This window comes from Homo sapiens, chromosome 4, assembly GCF_000001405.40.
Source record: "Homo sapiens chromosome 4, GRCh38.p14 Primary Assembly".
Classification (NCBI taxonomy): Eukaryota; Metazoa; Chordata; class Mammalia; order Primates; family Hominidae; genus Homo; species Homo sapiens.
This window is the reverse complement of record NC_000004.12, coordinates 73402972-73422562: the sequence shown is the minus strand read 5'-3', so window position 1 is coordinate 73422562 and position 19591 is coordinate 73402972. Positions and strand designations below refer to the sequence as shown.

Below are 19591 nucleotides of genomic sequence, written 5' to 3'. Positions count from 1 at the left end.
AGTATCTTTTTTGTATAATGACTTTTTTTCCTCTGGATAGATACCCAGTAGTGGGATTATTGAATCAAATGGTAGTTTTATTTCAGTTCTTTGAGGAATCTTCACACTGTTTTCCATAGTAATTGTACCAGTTTACATTCCCACCATCAGTGTAGAAGTGTTTCCTGTTCATTGCATCCATGCCAACATCTACTATTTTTTTATTTTTTTAATTATGGCCATTCTTGCAGAGGTAAGGTGGTATCACAGTGTGGTTTTGATTTGCATTTCCATGATTATTAGTGATGATGAGCATTTTTTCATGTTTGTTTTCAATTTGTATATTTTCTTTTGAGAATTGTCTATTCATGTCCTTAGCCCACTTTTTGATGGGATTTTTTTTTTCTTGTTGATTTGAGTTCATTGTAGAGTCTGGATATTAGTCCTTTGTCAGAAGTATAGATTGTGAAGATTTTTTTCTCACTCTGTGGGTTGTCTGTTTACTCAGCTGACTGTTTCTTTTGCCATGCCATGCAAAAGCTCTTTAGTTTAATGAAGTCCCAGCAATTTATCTTTGTTTTCATTGTATTTGTTTTGGGTTCTTGGTCATGAAATCCTTGCCTAAGCCTATATGTAGAAGGGTTTTTCCCAATGTTATCTTCTAGAATTTTTATAGTTTTAGGCCTTAGATTTAAGTTCCTAATCCATCTTGAGTTGATGTTTGTATAAGGTGAGAGATGAGGATCTAGCTTCAGTCTCCTACATGTGCTTGCCAATTATCCTAGCACCATTTGTTGAAAAAGTTGTCCTTTCCCCACCTTATGTTTTTGTTTTCTTTGTCTAAAATCAGTTAGCTGTAAGTATGTGGATTTATTTCTGGGTTCTCTATTCTGTTCTATTCCATTGGTCTGTGTGCCTATTTTTATACCAGTACCTTGCTGTTTCGGTGACTATGGCCTTATAGTGTAGTTTGAAATCAGGTAATTTGTTCTTTTTGCTTAGTCTTACTTTGGTTCTGCAGGCTCTTTTTTGATTCCATATGAATTTTAGAATTGTTTTTTCTAAGGTAAAAGCCATGTTTTATATTCCTTACCTATACCATGGTTTTTGTTCTTTTATTCAGAATTATCATAATGTCAAAATATTATTTTGAATGTTTATAATCCATAACTTAGAAGAGTATTAATGATTTATTTAATTAGCCCACAAGAAACTAGAAATCCTCTACCGAAGTGGAATAAGAGAGAACACTGGAACTTCCACAGAACCTACAGAATTTTCAGGATAGCAACACATCTTTGAAAAATAACAGTGCTGTACCACTCTATTAGATTCTTTCCATTTTTTATTAATTGAAGCACAGAGAAAAGAGGCAAAATGATTAAAGAAATTTATGTTTTTTAGACAGGGTGTTGGCTTTACACCAACGAAAAAGAAAAACAGATGAATAAGCTTTTGATCTTCATTTTCTTTCTCTTATTCTCATGGTAGGCTGAAAAACAAAAGGACAAATATAAGTCTTATTTGTAAAATGGCATGTGTTTTTCAAACCTATTAAAATAAATGCCAAATTACTTAGATCATCTTTCTGCAATTTACACCAGTGAAAACAATTTAAGCCTGTCCTAGACTTACGGCTGCTGAATTCTTCTGTTGGGCTAGGCAAGGGGACACACCAATAAATGTTGTCATAAGAAGATAAGTCCTATTAAAGCTCAGCATGTTGACAAATTGGAAATGTAATAGCAGATTCTTCACTATAAAGTTCACAGAAGGTAGATCCATCATATTCTCCAATGGAAAGGATGAGTTGAACTATTAGGTTGAACCATGTGAAATCACTGATATTCAACTGTTTTTGCCCTATAAAGCACTCTTTCATGTGGTTCAGCCTAATTCCCAGAGTATTCCACTGCTGAGCCATCACTTACTTGGATGGCTCTGTGTACCGCATCATATAAGTCAGAACAGGACAATGGGCAACACTGAAACTTTGGTTTCAATTTTGAATTTTGACCCTTTGGAAAATTACTTAATCTATGCTTTGATGTTTATCTTCATTTTCTCATCTACAAAATAGAAATAATAGTGGTTCCCAACTCAGCAACTATTTTGAGAATTTTAAAAGCTAATATTTACATACATAAATAGTTTAGAATAGTGGTCGGTGCTGGTCTATATGGCTCTTGGAAATGGTCAATCTTTGCTATTTTAATAATAACTATTATAGTTACTTTTTTAAAAAATTCAAAATATAGTTACCTGAGATGCTTTTAAATGTGATGTTATAAGCCTAAGGCAGCTTGACTTGCAGCAACAAGTTTTTTACCCTGAACACAAAGACATGACAGATGTTAGGAAAATATTAGCATTACTATTAGGATACAAAATTAACATTTATGAAGCTATTGATGATTGCAAAGTGATTTCACGTGCATCATATCCTTTAATTACAATTTACTACTATAATCTCTGGACGGAAGCTCACGGACATAGTTGTCCCCAAATGAATAAAAAAAAGTTACTGTCAGGCCATAAAGGGCAATTTTAAGTGATTTAGACATTTGAATGTAAATTCTCCCACTAGCCTATAAAATCAACTAAATCACAAACCACCACATTTCAAGTAAATGTTTAAATAAATTAATGTTTTGATTTCATGATCAAAATATTTCAGGCCTTACAAATATTCCTATTAATATTCATAAGCATCACAAATTTGGAAACAGAACAGGCATTATAAACATTTAACAGTATGGCACAATAGAGCAGGAGATAAAAACAAAGTGCTGTTTTATTCATTTTGTAAGACAATTGTTTGTAAAATAAGATCCCTGTCCCACATGTACAAAGCCTCCTTTGATATATAAATCCCTAAGCCCTAGCCTAACCAAACATGCAAAAATGAATACTGGACATATTAAAATGAAGAGAACTGTAGTACCTCCTCGGCAAAGCAGGTCTCCTTATCGTCAGCCTTGCAGCACTTCTCTACAAAAGCTGCGAAATCATCCATAACAGCTTTCAGTTGCTCTTTTGTTGCCTTGGGCTTGTGTTTCACGAGCTCAACAAGTGCACTGAGTTTGAATGGAAAAAGAAAAAAAAAAAACAGAAAAAACATTACTCACGTATAGAAAAATGGAGAGAGTAAGGATGGTAGTCCCATCATTTAAGATTATAAATCTTGGAGCCAGGCAACTCTGAGTACTTTGGGGCTCAGGCATACCGCTATAAGTCTCAATATTCTCATCTGCATGATGAGGATAATAAAATCCACTTTCATGGAGTTGGTGGGAAGACCAACTGAAACAATCAGTATAAACCACTCATCACGTTATGTAGTGTCAACAAATTTCTTTTCAGTAAATCTCTGAAAAGAAGTATGTCATTGCAATTATATATTATTCAGATTTTGGAAGTGCCATATTATGTCATATTGAGTTTTATTGCTATTAAAGAGCTAAAAATGATCCTTAAAAATTTAATTATCTTGGACTTTATTTAAAATTTTTCTCATCTATAAAGATGAGAAACTTTATATTTGGTTCTTAAACTTTGCTCCCTTCAAAGCTAATAGTGGGGAGGCTATAGAAAATAAGGCTATCCAAACTCATGGGAGCTGCTGGTTCTCTTTCACTGACATCTGCAAAGACAACAATGCCAGGGAGAGATTTGTGTGGGCATGACAGGTTTTGCAATATTACTCTTAAGCCTAGACGATGATTACAGCCCACAAGAGATGACAGCAACTTTCTATAGCTAAATTTTATGCAATTATAACCCCTGTGATAGCAATAGGGAGTTGAGCTTCAGGGCTTGCATTTCTACATGTTTTTTATCCAAGTCTCATTCTCAAAAGTCACATCTTGGGGGTTTGTCTCATGTGTGGGGCCACCATAGGGCAAACTTAAAATAATTATTTACATCTAGAAATAAATTCTCCTATGGTTCCCATTAACTAATTTGCCATGTGCACAAATTTATCAGTTAATTGTTCATCTTTTTCTACTGAATATGGCCTAACATGTTATTCTATTGTGGCTTTAATCCACAATATTACTCTGAATAATTTTAGCAATATTATAACAGAGGATTTTGTCTTTAAAAAGTTATTCATTTTATTCTGGGTACTCTTATCAGCATAATAAGGGCAACACTCCAATACTTTCCTCTAAGAAATATAATCACTACTTCAGGAAAAAGTTGCTAGCTTGAATTGACAGTTCTTGCTATCAAGACTACAAACACATGCAGTAATGAAATACTCCTCACGTTTGTTTCTTGATTTGTCTCTCCTTCTCAGAAAGTGTGCATATATCTGCATGGAAGGTGAATGTTTCAGCATTAAACTCTTTGGGAACGTATGTTTCATCGACTTCCAGAGCTGAAAAGCATGGTCGCCTGTTCACCAAGGATTCTGTGCAGCATTTGGTGACTCTGTCACTTACTGGCGTTTTCTCATGCAACACACATAACTGGTTCAGGACCACGGATAGCTAAAGAACAGGCAGGAGAGCAGAAATTCAAAAGAGGTGAAGCTGAAAATTTTCTACTAAAAATACAAAAAATTAGCCAGGCATGGTGGCATGCACCTGTAGTCCCAGCTACTTGGGAGGCTGAGGCAGGAGAATGGCTTGAACCTGGGAGGCGGAGGTTGCAGTGAGCCGAGATGGCACCACTGCACTCCAGCCTGGACAACAAAGCGAGACTCCGTCTCAAAAAAAAAAAAAAAATTATCATCCTCGGGGCCTTGACTGCCAATATCACACATACACACACGTGCATGCACACACACATGCACACAAACATGCACACACACACATTACTTCCTTCTGCTTATGAAAGCTAGCATTATCAATATCTAAAGGTAAAATTTTTTCATTATTAATTTATTATATTTTTTTAAAGACTCACATAGTCTTCTGCACAGGGCATTCTTTTTGCTTCAGGATGTTTACAACATTTGCTGCCCACTTTTCCTAGGTTTCTTGAGACCTCTACAAGAGTTGGAGTTGACACTTGGGGTACTTTCTTGGTGTAACGAACTAATAGCCTGAAAAAAAGAAGTCATGTGTTTTCAGCAAGGCAAGAAACTGTCTAACATAGTAGATAAAACAGAGAACACTTGGCCGGAATCAACTAAGATGTTGCTATGTTCCATTCATCATATTATCTCCATCTGCAGAGTAGTGGGTTAGTGGAGGGTAGAAAACATTCTCCTGAACAACTAGTTAAACTTGGCTTTGAGTTCCACCTGTACCACTTGCATAATCTTGGGAAAGTGAGTTGCCTAATTCAGTGACATTAATAAATTTATTAATTTCTTCTTTCAATAAAACCTGGAGAGAGCTTCATATGTATCAGCATATGCTAAACTTGAAAGATACAAGTAGAAAATGGAAGGAAATATATCTGACTCAATAGGGATAGTTCAAGGGTTAAATTAAAAGTAGTAAAGTATTATAATTAATCTGACATGGTACCTAATATATAATAATCATGTATTAAGAATGCCAGTCACCATTAAAAGTCAATGTATGACTTTAATCTACTCGAGGAAAGAAACTATGTCTTGTTCACTGTTATTATCTCTAAAATCCATAATCAGAAGAGCACCATGTGTATGAGCCACACAATAAATATCTACTGTATAATATGTCTCTTCTTGTTTTTAACCTTCATAGATAAGACTCTATTGAATTGGGACATTAGTCCAGCAAGCCATTCTGTCTCTGTCTCTTCTATGGAGGGAAAGGTTTAACCATCAAAGACTAGGTGCATCTCCCAAACAACCTGAATTTAATATTCAAATATGTATCTAAATTCATTTGTTACATTTTTGTGTTCAGCTTACATATTACTTTTTGAGCGACATCTATTCAAGGCCTACTACTTGCTGCTCTACAAAATATTGCCATGCTCTATTTGCCCATTAACTATTTCTTAACCTTCAAGGGACATGCTCAGTTCTGATATACCAAGATTTGGTATTTACCCTCCCAGCCTACATACTTCCAATCTTAAGAGAACAATTTTTAGACTACATTCAAATATAGACCTCTCCACCCCATCAACTATTTTATCTCTCCTCTCCTATCTTTCTTGACAAAGAGTGATTAGAAATATGCAATGTATTTTCATTCTTAAAAGTTCTATGCTAGGTGGCTCATATATTAAGTCTTAAATAATTACAAATTGATAAAAAAAATCAGTCAATAAAAATTACTTACGCATTCTGGAATTTGTACTCTCCAAGCTGCTCAAAAAGCTCACAATTTTGTTTGATTAAATTCTGAGGCTCTTCCACAAGAGGTTTAAATTCATCGAACTGAAACATAAAAGAATTGTGTTAATAGTATTATGCCTCAGGATCAGATGCAGGTTGTTTTTCACCCCTCTGGTCAGAATGATATCCTTTCTTCTTCCTACTCAAAGCCACATGAATAGATGAATATCAATGCCGCTCTGTCACAATACATTCGAACTATTTATTTGGTGAGCTTGCATCATGTAAGTGGTTAAGAATATTCAGGCTCTGGAGTTCAATGACCAGTATTTGAGCCAAGTCATGTAACTCATTCTTCAGTTGTGCAATTTTACTTACCATCTCCACATTTCAGAATCCTTATCCCTAAAATAGGGGCAAAGATGGCACTCATCTCATAGAGCTGCTCTGTAAACCAGGTAAGCTAATGAAATTAAACAGTGCCTTGCATATAATAAAAGTTTAATAAATGATGGCTATGATTGTACATATTATTATTATTAGTTCACCTTTCCAGTTAGATTCCAGGCTCTCCAAAATGAGAGATTTTACGTTGGTCATTGTTTGTGCATGGTGCCTGGCATACAGTAGCTTCTTGAAAGCAGGAAAAATGAGTTTTCTCTGATTCTGAATAGTTCAGAAACCATTACATATGCTAGTGGGAACCCTAAAAATCCTCCAGAACAGATTTCCTCTCCTAACTTAATTTCTTGTAAAACTATTCCTAAACATCCTCAAAAAGATTTGAAAATATTCTAAAGGGATAGGTTCTATAATTTGCCATAAGATACTAATTCTAGTACTTGATTAATCCTGGAATCAGGTTAACTCACTTTACATCTAAGTTAAATATCTTCTAATTAACATTTAAATTTAATTTTTTTTTGTTCTCAGGATTGTGAAAAAGAGAAAAAAAGATCAAAATTTTTTAGAGATTGCTCTATTCAGATCTTTCTATTCTAACTAGTCTAAATTTTGTTAATCATTCTAAGGCTACTTTTTCTTTCATGTTTAAGATTCCAGAATTGAAACCATCTCAAGAAAAGATCTAAATTGCACTGTATATCATTTTACATTCTTGCATTATTTTTCTTTCTCATTATTGGAATCATCAGTCAAAGAACTACATTTTTTTCCAACAATAAACCTACCACTTTGGCATAGCATTCATGAGGATCTGCAGCGGCACAGCACTTCTCTAGAGTGGTTTCATATGTCTTGGCAAGTCTCAGCAGCAGCACGACAGAGTAATCAGGATGCCTTCTTGCATATTCATACAAAAACCTAATTAAGATGAAAATAAAATAGACTTTGTTGGACAAATGAGCACAAAAAATATCACAAAGCTAATCTCAAAAGTAACTCATATTCCAAAAGTCTTAATTTGACTAAACCCCATGCAGTAAAGCTTAGTAGCTAAGGACTTGGGGTCCAGAGTTAAAGTTACCAAGGCTCAATTCCTAGCTCTGCTACTTATATCACTGCATCACCTTAGGCAACTTATTTAAATGATCAGAGCCTTAGTCTCCTTCTCGGTAGAATGGAAATAATAATAGTATCTGTCGGCTGGGCACAGTGGCTCATGCCTGTAATCCCAGCACTTTAGGAGGCTGAGGCAGGCATATCACCAGAGGTCAGGAGTTTGAGACCAGTCTGACCAACATGGTGAAACCCCATCTCTACTAAAAATACAAAATTAGCCAGGCATGGTGGTGCATGCCTGTAATCCCAGGAGGCTGAGGCAGGAGAATCGCTTGAACCTGGGAGGCGGAGGTTGTGGTGAGCCGAGATGGCACCATTGCACTCCAGCCTGGGCAACAAGAGTAAAACTCTGTCTCAAAAAATAAATAGTATCTGTCTCGGAAGGTGGATTATGAGAACTATATGACATAATCTACACAAAGCACACACTGCTTGGCACATATGAAGTCTTTGATGAATGATACTTGTTATTTTTATTAACATTTTGTTTGATTTAAACTACATCTCAAAAGGATTCTGATAAATAGATGGGCAGAGATATGTTCTTAAAATATTCTCTTTCTTCTCTGTATGAGTGAAATCTTGTAGGGTACATAATTTTAGGAAATATTATTTAGTGCATTATCATAATCCAACAACAAAAATGCAGTTTATCACCACAACTTCTGACAATATGTAAACATTTATTTTGTAATTGAGTTGCCTACCATATTGCCATTATACTGAACTTCTGGTCTTTTCACCAAATATAAAGCACCTGGTGTCAGACTCTATATTTCTTTTTATACTTCTTTGCTATCATTGCATAGATTAGATAGATAGACTAGATTAGATTAGATTAGTTAGATAGACAGGCAATACATAGTCACACACATATATTATAGATGTTCAAGAAATACACTTGGAATGAATGACTGAAGTATACATAATTTATATATACACAAAATGTTTCTAGACGTATTTTCAGAAATACCCCTAAGGAGTAAGGAATGTTGAGCTTTGCCATGAACATGTATTATTTTATGACAATGTATTCAACTAATTAACTATTTCAAAAATTGTTAAAGCCTGGGAAAGGGAAGGATGAAGAAACATTCTGGGCAGCAGGGAAATTGTAGCAACTCCACAGAAAAGCCTAGGCTATCCTCCTAAGTTGTGAGGTCATGCCAAAGCTATAAAAGAATAATTTCTTATCTACTTACATGCCCAGGAAGACATCCTTTGCCTCAGCATAGTTTTTGCAAACATCCTTACTTTCAACAAAATCAGCAGCTAATGAAGGCAAGTCAGCAGGCATCTCATCATTTTCCACTTCGGCAATGCAGTGGGATTTTTCCAACAGAGGTTTTTCACAGCATTCCTTCAGTTTACTGGAGATCGAATCTTGATTTTCACAGATATACTTGGCAAGGTCCGCCTATAAGTAAGTTGGTGGAAATTGTTCAACACGAATTGACATTGCTACACTTTCTCCTCAGACCTTTATTAAGTTGGCAGAACATATTCATTGTATTCTAAGACCATACACATATTCCTTCTATGAACATACTCTGTTTGCTCCTAAACCTGGAGATGTAGATAGGACTACAAAAACATTCCCACTTAATTAAAATAGACTAATCAGTAGCAGGTGCTCAGCTCAGTTATTTATTAATTTTATGTTTCTACTGTTAGGGCATTTAAGTTTTTTTCATTAAAACTCAATGCTGTTTTTCCAAATAATCCCCCAAAATTAAGTGCAGGCCTTTTGAAACCAAATAACTAAATAAAATATAGAAGATTTTTGAAAAATGAGTCAAGATCATAGTCATAGGCCCTGCTTACATATATAAAATAACCGCCTTAAATTTTCCAGAAAGTGCCATGAGAGATTAGGATTCTAGTATTTGCCCATAAGTTTAATCTTGAAGAAAGGGAGAAAGAAAATATTATAAGTTTTGAGAAAAGAGATATCATTCCAAATATTTGCACATCTAACAAACAGAGTTAATTAAGGGAAGGAATATAGAGAAGAAAAATACATCATTTCCAAAAATCTCTTCAAGTAGTGACCTTCTCCAAGTCCACCTACCTCCCTCAAAAAATCTTCTTAGGCTGGGCAAGGTGGCTCATGCCTGTAATCCCAGCACTTTGGGAGGCCAAGGCGGGTGGATCACCTGAGGTCAGGAGTTCGAGACCAGTCTGGACAATATGGTGAAACCCCGCCTCTACTAAAAATACAAAATTAGCCAGGTGTGGTGGCGCATGCCTGTAATCCCAGCTACTTGGGAGGCTGAGGCATGAGAATCACTTGAACCCAGGAGGCAGAGGTTGCGCTGAGCCAAGATCACACCATTGCACCCCAGCCTGGGAAACAAGAGCGAAACTCTGTCTTAAAAAAAGAAAAAAAAATCTTCTTAGACATCTACCTTGCAAGATGTTCTGCCAAGTAAAACCTTGTAACTGTTCTACTTCAGTTTAAGCCTTCATTTACAGTTAGAGCATGACTGAAAGGAGTTACAAATCAGTGAATGGGTTTATCTGGTAATTTATAGCCAGGTTAAAAACAGAAAGGTACCACCACCATAGGCAGGGAAAGATTGAAGATAGGACAGACGAAAGCACAGAAGACAATCTCAACCCACTGTCAGCTATCACCAATGATACCAAACGCATCCATTCTACCAACTTGAGCATGCAAGCTACCAAAAAGCATATCGACGACTCTTTACCCTGTCATCAGCACATTCAAGCAGATCTCCATGGCAGCATTCCGTGTGGACTTTGGTAAGATCTGTCACTAACTTGGAAACTTCTGCAAACTCAGCTTTGGGAAATCTCTGGCTCAGGCGAGCTACTGCCCTAAAAAGAAAATCGCCAATCAAAATGGTATTATCATGCGATATTTTATATGAAAACACTAGGCAAATACTATTTCTCATAAGAAAATTCAAAATGGACATACAGAAATAATTTTTAAAATTCATTAGTTCTAGTTCTGAACCAAATGGTAATCACTTATCCTTAGGGCAGAATTATCCATTTAAGAGTGTGTGTGGTAGGTAGAAATCTAGCAAGTCATAAAAGCAGAAATTAAAAAGGAACTCTAAAAGGGGCAACAGGCTGAGAAGCATCAGGTTTGGAGTCCAGATGTGACTTCCAGCTCTGGCTTTATCACTTGTTAGCAGTAGGACTTGTTAGCAGAGGGCTCAGCCTCTCTGAGCTTCAGCCTCTGCAGTGTCATGACAACATGCTAAATTGAAGAAGTTTTGAGGATTAAATTAGATAATACATACAAAAGCATTTTATAATCTGGGAAGTACTACACAAACTCCAGTTATCTTTTTTCTCAATTGAAACACATTTTTTCTGACTTCTAAAGGTCTCTTAGAAAAGAAATCATAACTTCTACAGAATGAGGGAGTTTTTATTGATCTTACTTATAAAAAGAAAGATCCAGCACTATCTTCAAACTCTATGACAAGATGTAAACGTCTAATTTTCTTCATTCTCTAGTCATTTCACAGTTGCCTAAATCAGGTAAAGGTGACTTCTTTCCCAAAACCAATCATAGCCTGTTTATCTGTGTATAATTTTATGTTGGGGCTGTTTTTTTTCATAAATTTGGTTGATTTTGGTGGTGTAGATGGTAGGAATGATGAGCAAATACAGTTCAATTGACAGTTTCTAGAGAGCATGCATAATGTCTATTATTTTCATTTTATTTCCTGTTGTGTTGATTTGCTGTTGACTAGCAGGTGAGGAGTGTGGGTGACGGGGCAGCTAGTATTTTTCTTGACTCGGCTATTAAAGTATGCTCCCAGAACCAACTAAGTAATATGAAAACAGAGGCTCAGGCAAAAACATGAGATGAAGATCAGAGCTGGAGCTATGCAAAAATAAGAAGTAACTTCAACTTAGTTGGTGACTGAATTTAACTATAAGACATAAAAGGACAAGCAAATAGTTTTAGATCATTGGGGGGAAGATAAAATTAAATAAAGGGATTATATATGTTGTATACTTATATCAAAATATCTCATATACCCCGTAAATATGTATACCTACTCTGTATCCACAAAAATTAAAAATAACTTTAAAAAATTAAATAAAGAACCATGCCTACAGCTCTATAAAAATAATGAACCATTAGAATAAGAGTCCAAGATTTTATAAATAAATAGAACTTAAATATCTGTCCCTTTTTTTAGGACAAAAAGGACAGCGTCCTCTAAATTATTCAACTATTTAGAAAAGAAAAGATTAAAAATAATGTCAAATTGTCATTGATATTCTGATTTTTACCTCTATTAGAGTTCTACCTGTTAGACAACCAAAGAAATGTATTTGACAGCACTTTGCAAAATACATAAAAATGTACAATTTGTCACTGAAGCATTATCATTTACATCGTTATAAAGATGCCAACTATGTTTAAAAGTATTTACCATGCTTTGAAAGCTCTTTCTCCAAATTTTTGGAGACTGGCACACTTGAGTCTCTGTTTGGCAGACGAAGCCTTCCCTTCATCCCGAAGTTCATCGAGCTACAAAAAGGAATAATTTGATGAAAATTAGAAGAAAAATTCTACATGAAACACCCCTCCATAAGCTCAGATGAGACTGTGCCAAATTAAATTTTGAAGGCATAATTTATGCCTAAATTCCCAAGTACTCCCTTTAGCGAATAATGATTTTGCTCTCTAAGAAAAGGAAAGATCATTCGATCATTCTGGTCACAGCGGAATTCCCTATGTAGTTAGAAACCAACTGGAAACATTGCCAGGAAAAAGAGCCTTAAAAGTGGGAGAAAAGTCAGAGAAAGAGTACGCTAATATCCCAGGGGCTGCAATTTTGCTAATTTTTAAATTTTGTGTATAATTCATTTCAGTCTCTCCTCCACCAACATCAGTAAACTCCTCAGAAAAGAAAATAAAGCATTCCATAATATATATTTATGGAATGAATGCATGAACTCAGGCATCTAGATGCAGTAAAATTCTCTACTTTGAATTCCCTCCCTACTAAAAATTATCATGAAAAGATAAACAAGAACTGTGGCCCCTTGCTGTGCAATTTGACAAACAAGTTTCAGTATTTCACTATAGTGATCACCACCATAAAAAGTGGTGAAATCTTTAAACACATGCACAGTGATTACCTCTGACAGATCATCATTGGCAAATCTTAAAAGAAGAAACGAGAGTGTAGGCCTTCAAAGATGAAAGATTTTCAAGACAGATAAAAGGAAGGCTTTTTTGACCATGTCGGAAAGTTTGTATCAGACACTCAGGTTCCCTAAATCTAGCCACAAAATGGACAAAATCAGGTTGGATAATGAACTCTTTTTTTCTATTCTTTTGCATAATACCTTTGGCAACAGGCAGGCAGCTTTATCAGCAGCTTGGCAACATTCTGTAAAAGCAGCTTTATACCTTTTAGCAAAGAAAAGGAGTTCCGGGGCATAAAAGTAAGGATGTCTTCTGGCAATTTCATATAAGTATCTAAATTTTGAAAAAGAAAAACAGTCACTTTTCTATAGCAGACAATATTACAGAAATAATTGTAATCGACATTCTCCCCAGAACCTCCAAATTCCAAAGATATCTAATTAACCAATTAAGCTCAATTTGCACATGATGGTCTTGTCTCTGTCATTCTTTAAGTATGTGGAAAAAAGGGTTAAGTGTGTGTGTGTGTGTGTGTGTGTGCATAAATGGTTAAATTTTGGCAATATAATGTTGCTGACTAAAACGAAATCAATTATAACAACCATATATACATATCTTCGTAATACATTAAATAATTTGTCTATCTTAAATTTTTCAGAAAGATTGTATCCTGTTTCAATAAACTTCAAAATATCTTTGATCATATTTTTTGCTGTGTAGAATTTTGTGGTATCAAATACTACTTCTTTAAAAAATCATCATAACAAAACTTCCAAGTCTTAATGTTGAAAATATTTTTGTTATGGTAATTTTTATAGAGTGTTGGCCTATGGAGTTACTCCATGCTTTTTAATTTTGAACTATAAACATCTGATTACTTACTTTTTCAAAAATGTCTCTTCATTGTCATGAAAAGCAGTGCACATCACATCAACCTCTGGTCTCACCAATCGGGGGAGGTTTGGGTTGTCATCTTTGTGTTGCAAGAAGCATTCATTTCTCTCAGGTTCTTGTTTTGCACAGCAGTCAGCCATTTCACCATAGGTTTCACGAAGAGTTGCAACTGTGCATAATTTGTCTCCAAAAAGGGTATGCTAAATGGAAGAAAGCAGGTTTCAGTTGCTGGACAGTACCTTTTTTCTTTATAGCCAAAGAACAGTACAAAGGATTTAATATACTGGTTAAGCTTGGTCAGGAAATCATTTAAAAATCCGCTTCCCCTCCCAATCGAGGTTTACAGTTTCTGATGATTTAACCATCTCTATATAATTTTCATAAGAATTAACTGTCACACTATAACTCATGGTGAATAAAACAGGACAAAAAGACAGTCAATAGCTTTAAGGAAAGTTATATGACTCCTATTTTGAAACTTAAAACTAAAGGGTAAGAGCAATCATTATAACAGAAATCAAGAGAAAATAAGCTTCTAAGCAGCAGGTGAATTCACCTAGGGGAGAAAAACATTCAGAGAGTTTCTCATTTCATTTGCCCCCTTTTTAGAGGGCCATGTTTTAGTATATGCCATTGAAAACTGAGGAGTAACACAATCCATCATATATTAAGTGACTATTAAGATATAGACATTTTTCTTCCAGAAATGTTACCTAAAATCACTTTCCAATAAATGAGTCCTTTCCTTATCTCTAATTTTTATTATGAAAGTAACTGTAACCCCAGGGAAAATATACTACTCTAGACAGAATTTATTAATTTTTATGTATTTTTAAGATTTCATATGTAGAGCCATAGTATTGTGTAAAGTTAAAGTCCTGACTCTGCTGTGAGGGAGAGGTACATAATAAAAAGGGGAAAGGCTCCAGTGATAAAAACTGGCCTTGCCCACAAGAGGTATATATAGATTGAGTGGTGAGAGAAAGATAAACCTGTCCTTGTTTTGAAGATTGATCTGGAAATACTAAAAGTTTAAAGTTCTTCAACATGACTAAGTACTCTGCTTTTTTATTGTATGTAGAAATACAAAGATATCTAAAATGAGGAATATATAGCTGTACTATTATTCCACCCAGGTAACAAAATTAGCATAGAAATCAGTGGGTGTTTTCTGATGATAAAAACCATGATATCATCTCTAAGAGATAGTAGCTCTCCTGTGTTCATTGCAACACTATTCATGATAGTCAAGATGTAGAAAACCAACCTAAATGTCTATCAATCAACAAATTAATGGATAAAGAAAATGTGGTACACACATGCACTGGAATATTATTCAGCCTTGAAAAGAAGGAAATTCTGCAATAGGCAACAACATGGTTGGACTTTGAATGCACTATGCTAAGGGAAATAAGTCAGTCATAAAAAGATAAACAGTACATAATACCACTTATATAAGGTAGCTAAAGTAGTCAAACTCATAGAATCAAAGAGTATAATGCTGGTTGCCAGTGGCTGGGGGAGGACGAAACGAGGGGTTACTAATCAATGGGCACAAAGTTTTAATACAGCAAGATGAGTAAGCTATACAACAGTGTACCCGTAGTTAACAATAATGGATTGTACACTTAAAAATATAACAGGGTAGATCTCATGTTAAGGGTTCTTACTATAATAAAATAAGATAAATAAATAAATAAATACATGCTATCATATCCCTATTAGCCTCTACAAAAAGAAACCAAACCTCAAATTTTAAAAAGAGGTGTTTATAAATGACAAATTGCCATTTAAATACACCATGACTGTTGTGTTTGGTCTCAATAAAGAAATGATTTTAAAACTGTGGACATAGCTAAAGCATCTCTATCACAAAAGAAACAATGGCTTATCAGTCTATGAGCAACTTTTTAGTGTTTCTTACAAATCAGGACACTTAATAATAATTGAGAAAACTTAAAAAAAATTCCTTTGAAATGCTTGGGATTACTTCAAACAGAAGAAAGAATCTCCACAATTAGAATGTACTTACAAGTGATTTGTCACAATTTTCAGCTGACTCATCAGCAACACATGTTTTTGCAAATTCAGTTACTTCATTCACTAATTTTACATGATCTTCAAATGGACACTGCTGAAGATACTGAGCAAAGGCAATCAACACCCTGAAACAAAGGATGTAGAAAAATGTAGTATAATAAAACTTTAATATGTAACAGGTTGCTACGCTAGAGAACAAATCATGTATGGGTATAGGTTCTATCTTTTATACATCTTCTTCACCATTATCCAGAAAGCCTATTCATATCAGGTATGATCTGAGGCCTAGATAGGCATATGTGGCTTCCTACGCAAAGAGAATGGTAGTTCCCTAATGTTTATATGTATGCGTGTGTCAGTAGATCTATGCACACACATAGATTAAGCAAGCAAATTGTATGCCAAATAGATCTAATTGTCAAGACTAGGCATTTTTAAAGTCCTTAGAATTACTTAAAACTAAAACAAACCCCACAGATTTCCTTTTTCTTTTTTGAGACAGAGTCTCACTCTGTCACCCAGGCTGGAGTGCAGTGGCACAATCATGGCTCACTGTAGCCTTGACCTCTCAGGTCCAAACGATCCTCCTACGTCAGCCTCCTAAGTAGCTAGGACTACAGGCATGTGCCACCATGCCTAATTTTTTTGTTTGTTTGTTTTGTTTTTTTTAAAGAGACTTGCCCAGGCTGGTCTTGAACTCCTGGGCTCAAGCAATCCTCCTGCATCAGCCTTCCAAAGTGCTGGGATTACAGGTGTGAACCACCGCACCTGATCCCCACACACGTCTTTAATTAGCCTGTAGGATTAGGTAGACTTTTAAAAAAACAATTTTCTCATTTTTTACTAGATTAAAAAACATTTAAATAGGCCGGGCGCGGTGGCTCACTCCTGTAATCCCAGCACTTTGGGAGGCCGAGGTGGGCAGATCACGATGTCAGGAGATTGAGACCATCCTGGCACACGGTGAAACCCCATCTCTACTAAAAATACAAAAGATTAGCCGGGCGTGATGGCGGGCGCCTGTAGTCCCAGCTACTCGGGAGGCTGAGGCAGGAGAATGGCGTGAACCCGGGAGGCGGAGTTTGCAGTGAGCCGAGATTGCGCCACTGCACTCCAGCCTGGGCGACAGAGCGAGACCCTGTCTTAAAAAAAAAAAAAAATTAAATATTCCCAACTAAGCACAGGAATGCTTGCTATGTAAAGAAGATTTAGTGGGTAAGCCACCAAAGGAAACCTATATTAAAGTCCTTTCCACCAAGCAAGTTCCAGAGCTGTACTGTCCAATACAGTAGCCATTAGCCACATGTGACTATATACATTCAAATTAACTACAATTAAATACAATTTAAGTTTTTGTTTCTCAGTTGCACTTGTCATATTTGAAGTACTCAATAGCCATGTGACCAGTGACTACCTTATTGGATAGCCCAGATACAGAATATCTTCCTCAACGCAGAAAACTCTACGAGGCAGCACTGTTTTAGAATCTGAACCCTGATGACAAGGAAATATAAGCACTTTAGAATAATAAACAACACTATTAGAAACATTAAATTTGATTCATCAATATTTTAACTTACAAGGCTTTGAAATTTTCTTCTCCCAAATCTTTAAACCGATGAGCAACCTCACTCTTGTCTGGGCAAGGGAAGAAAAAAAAGGATTGTTAAATACTGAAGAAAACAAGAAGTAATAATGTTACTTTTTATATTTCTTTCCATTTGACTTAGATTATGCATTTGTTTCAAAATATTGGGCTCTGATTCCTACAGAAAAACTCAGGATGATGTTCAATTATTTCTTCTGCCTTTAAACAGAAGAATAATTCAATTACCAAGAATACTATTTTAAAAATTATTAAATATTTATAGCCTTATATTCAAACTTAGATAATATCTAATACTCTTTTAGTGTCTATCAACAGCAACCAAGAAGACAGACTAAAATGAAAATAAATATAAATACAAGTTCTATTTATGAGATCAACAGCACAGGTTTTGTGGTTTTTAAATAAAGCATAGTGCAATGGATAGGTCTTTGGGATAGTTATGAATTCAATCTTCAACCCTATTCTGTGAAGTTTCAGTCACTCTAAGTTACTTTGCACTTTCCTTAGTGCGCAAAAGAAAATTACAGTCACTAAACAATTCTGACCTTTTTTTTTTTTTACCTAGGATGTTTGAATTTTATTAATAAGATAACCTTGTAAGACTTCACAAATACAAAATACTATGCCATTTTAGAAATAAATGCCAAAATAATTCTTTAAAGATGCAGAGTTTACTAAAACTTTATTTTACTGGGAAAATAGAATAAAAGTTGAACAATAGAAAAATGGATTTCTTACGTGCATCTCGACGAAACACACCCCTGGAATAAGCCGAGCTAAAGAGAAAAAGAAGGGAAATAAAGGTTACCCACTTCATTGTGCCAAAGGCGTGTGGGGTTGACAGAAGAGAAAAGCTAGGACAAACGGAGGGAAATTAGCACTAATATACTTCTTTAACCAATAATTGTAGATTATTAACTAGACTCATCTTTGTATTTCATTGGCTGCCAACCGATTACAAAATTCATAATATTCTTGCCAAAAAATTGTTTGACTAAATCCCTTGTGTATATTTACCATCTGGAACTGTTTTCTCCACAAGACCTTGTCAATGTATTAAAGTTGTGTAAAACATCTTATCAAATTTTACATAAGAGTTTAAACGATTTGTACCTTTTATTCATTACCATGGTATTTAACTGTAATTTCCCACTTGAACATTTTAGTTCTTGGTGTTTGCAATTTAGTTCTCAGTGTTTAGTAATTACTAACCAAACTAAATACTTTGCTTAGAAATAAGACATACTGAAAGAGTTAAGTCCCAAATTGCATCTATTGCTAATTCCAAGTGTGCTTTTACCTATAGATAATGAAAAATTTACACACAAGTACTCACGCATGCACACACACATATACATACATACATATTTTAGGGCTTCTGTGTCTTTTTTACTATTCCAAAGCCATTCTGTCTGAAAAAGCTGATGTTGCCTCAGATGCAAACTAAGAAAAAGACATAGCAACAATAACAAGTAAGATAGGACTTAGAAATTCCATGTTCCCATTCCTGCTGTGGCCCACATGTGATTCAAGCCCTGAGATAGGCTATTTAGATTCAGTGTGAGTATATCTCATGGGATCTTCAGTTAAGCAGAGATGGAGAGGAAAATGGACCCAAATGAGATGATGATTATCTTTGCCATAATATACAATAGGACAGGCTGACCCCAAATTCTCTGTAGGTTATGAGAACCCTTGACCTTCACCAGGCATAGGATTCTTTCCATCCCTGTTTCATATTTTTTTCCTTTCTCTCTTTCAATAAGTAGAAAAATCACATGTTCTTTTATGTTGCTTTAAATTTCAAAATAAATTTAACATTATGTCTAAAAACAAAGCGAAGGAAGAATAATTTTTTAAATATTTCATAAATCTTCCTTCCCTACCCAAGGTTCTTATCTCTACCTCAGAAAAGCTATCCTACCTCTGCCCTTTTGCTCAGAATATGAAGAACTACTGAGCTCAACCAGTAGGAAGAACAACTTTCTCTGATACTACAGAACAATAATTAGTACTAAGCCAGTTATTTTACTTAATTAAATAACTCAGTCAGTCAAAACCAGTAGTCAAATTTCCTCATGGCACATAGAGGCACAGAGACTAACAAAGTATTATTTTTTCTACTCAGTCTTATAATGAAAGAAAATTTTTTCTATTCAGTCTTACAATGAAA

General features: G+C 35.1%; 1 protein-coding gene across 1 annotated transcript, besides 6 other annotated features; it reads right to left on the bottom strand.

The window, feature by feature from the left end:
* On the bottom strand, nucleotides 1081–18276 carry ALB (albumin). Its single transcript, NM_000477.7, has 15 exons — nucleotides 18157–18276; nucleotides 17390–17447; nucleotides 15802–15934; nucleotides 13758–13969; nucleotides 13076–13208; nucleotides 12154–12251; nucleotides 10438–10567; nucleotides 8929–9143; nucleotides 7396–7528; nucleotides 6210–6307; nucleotides 4894–5032; nucleotides 4252–4475; nucleotides 2924–3056; nucleotides 2242–2309; nucleotides 1081–1471 (listed from the first exon to the last, which is right to left on the bottom strand). Exons 1-14 carry the CDS (start codon nucleotides 18233–18235, stop codon nucleotides 2265–2267), a joined length of 1830 nt encoding a protein of 609 aa, NP_000468.1. The 5' UTR covers nucleotides 18236–18276; the 3' UTR covers nucleotides 1081–1471; nucleotides 2242–2264.
* Nucleotides 18221–19382: a promoter, noted in NCBI's record as "-1103/+47; SacI/BstEII fragment". NCBI's record gives the evidence for it as "EXISTENCE:reporter gene assay evidence [ECO:0000049][PMID:2304474]".
* Nucleotides 18221–19591: part of a biological region, named in NCBI's record as "albumin (ALB) 5' regulatory region", that runs on past the window's edge. NCBI's record gives its function as "regulatory_interactions: AFP | ALB | LOC111832670".
* Nucleotides 18236–18641: a promoter, noted in NCBI's record as "0.4 kb promoter; -367/+39". NCBI's record gives the evidence for it as "EXISTENCE:reporter gene assay evidence [ECO:0000049][PMID:16608438]".
* Nucleotides 18300–18306: a TATA box. NCBI's record gives the evidence for it as "COORDINATES:motif similarity evidence [ECO:0000028][PMID:3009475]".
* Nucleotides 18489–18508: a protein binding site, noted in NCBI's record as "C/EBP site". NCBI's record gives the evidence for it as "EXISTENCE:protein binding evidence [ECO:0000024][PMID:16608438]".
* Nucleotides 18609–18648: an enhancer, noted in NCBI's record as "Lf-B1 upstream element". NCBI's record gives the evidence for it as "EXISTENCE:reporter gene assay evidence [ECO:0000049][PMID:2304474]".

Bases quoted from the DNA above. Each gene is read 5' to 3' on its own strand.
- ALB (NM_000477.7), bottom strand. From the start codon at position 18,235: ATGAAGTGGGTAACCTTTATTTCCCTTCTTTTTCTCTTTAGCTCGGCT. The intron at 13,209-13,757 runs GTAAGTAATCAG...TTCAAAATTTAG, and splicing joins GAAGAGACATTTTTGAAAAA to ATACTTATATGAAATTGCCA. The intron at 9,144-10,437 runs GTAAAGAGTCGT...ACTTACTTATAG, and splicing joins TTGAATGTGCTGATGACAGG to GCGGACCTTGCCAAGTATAT.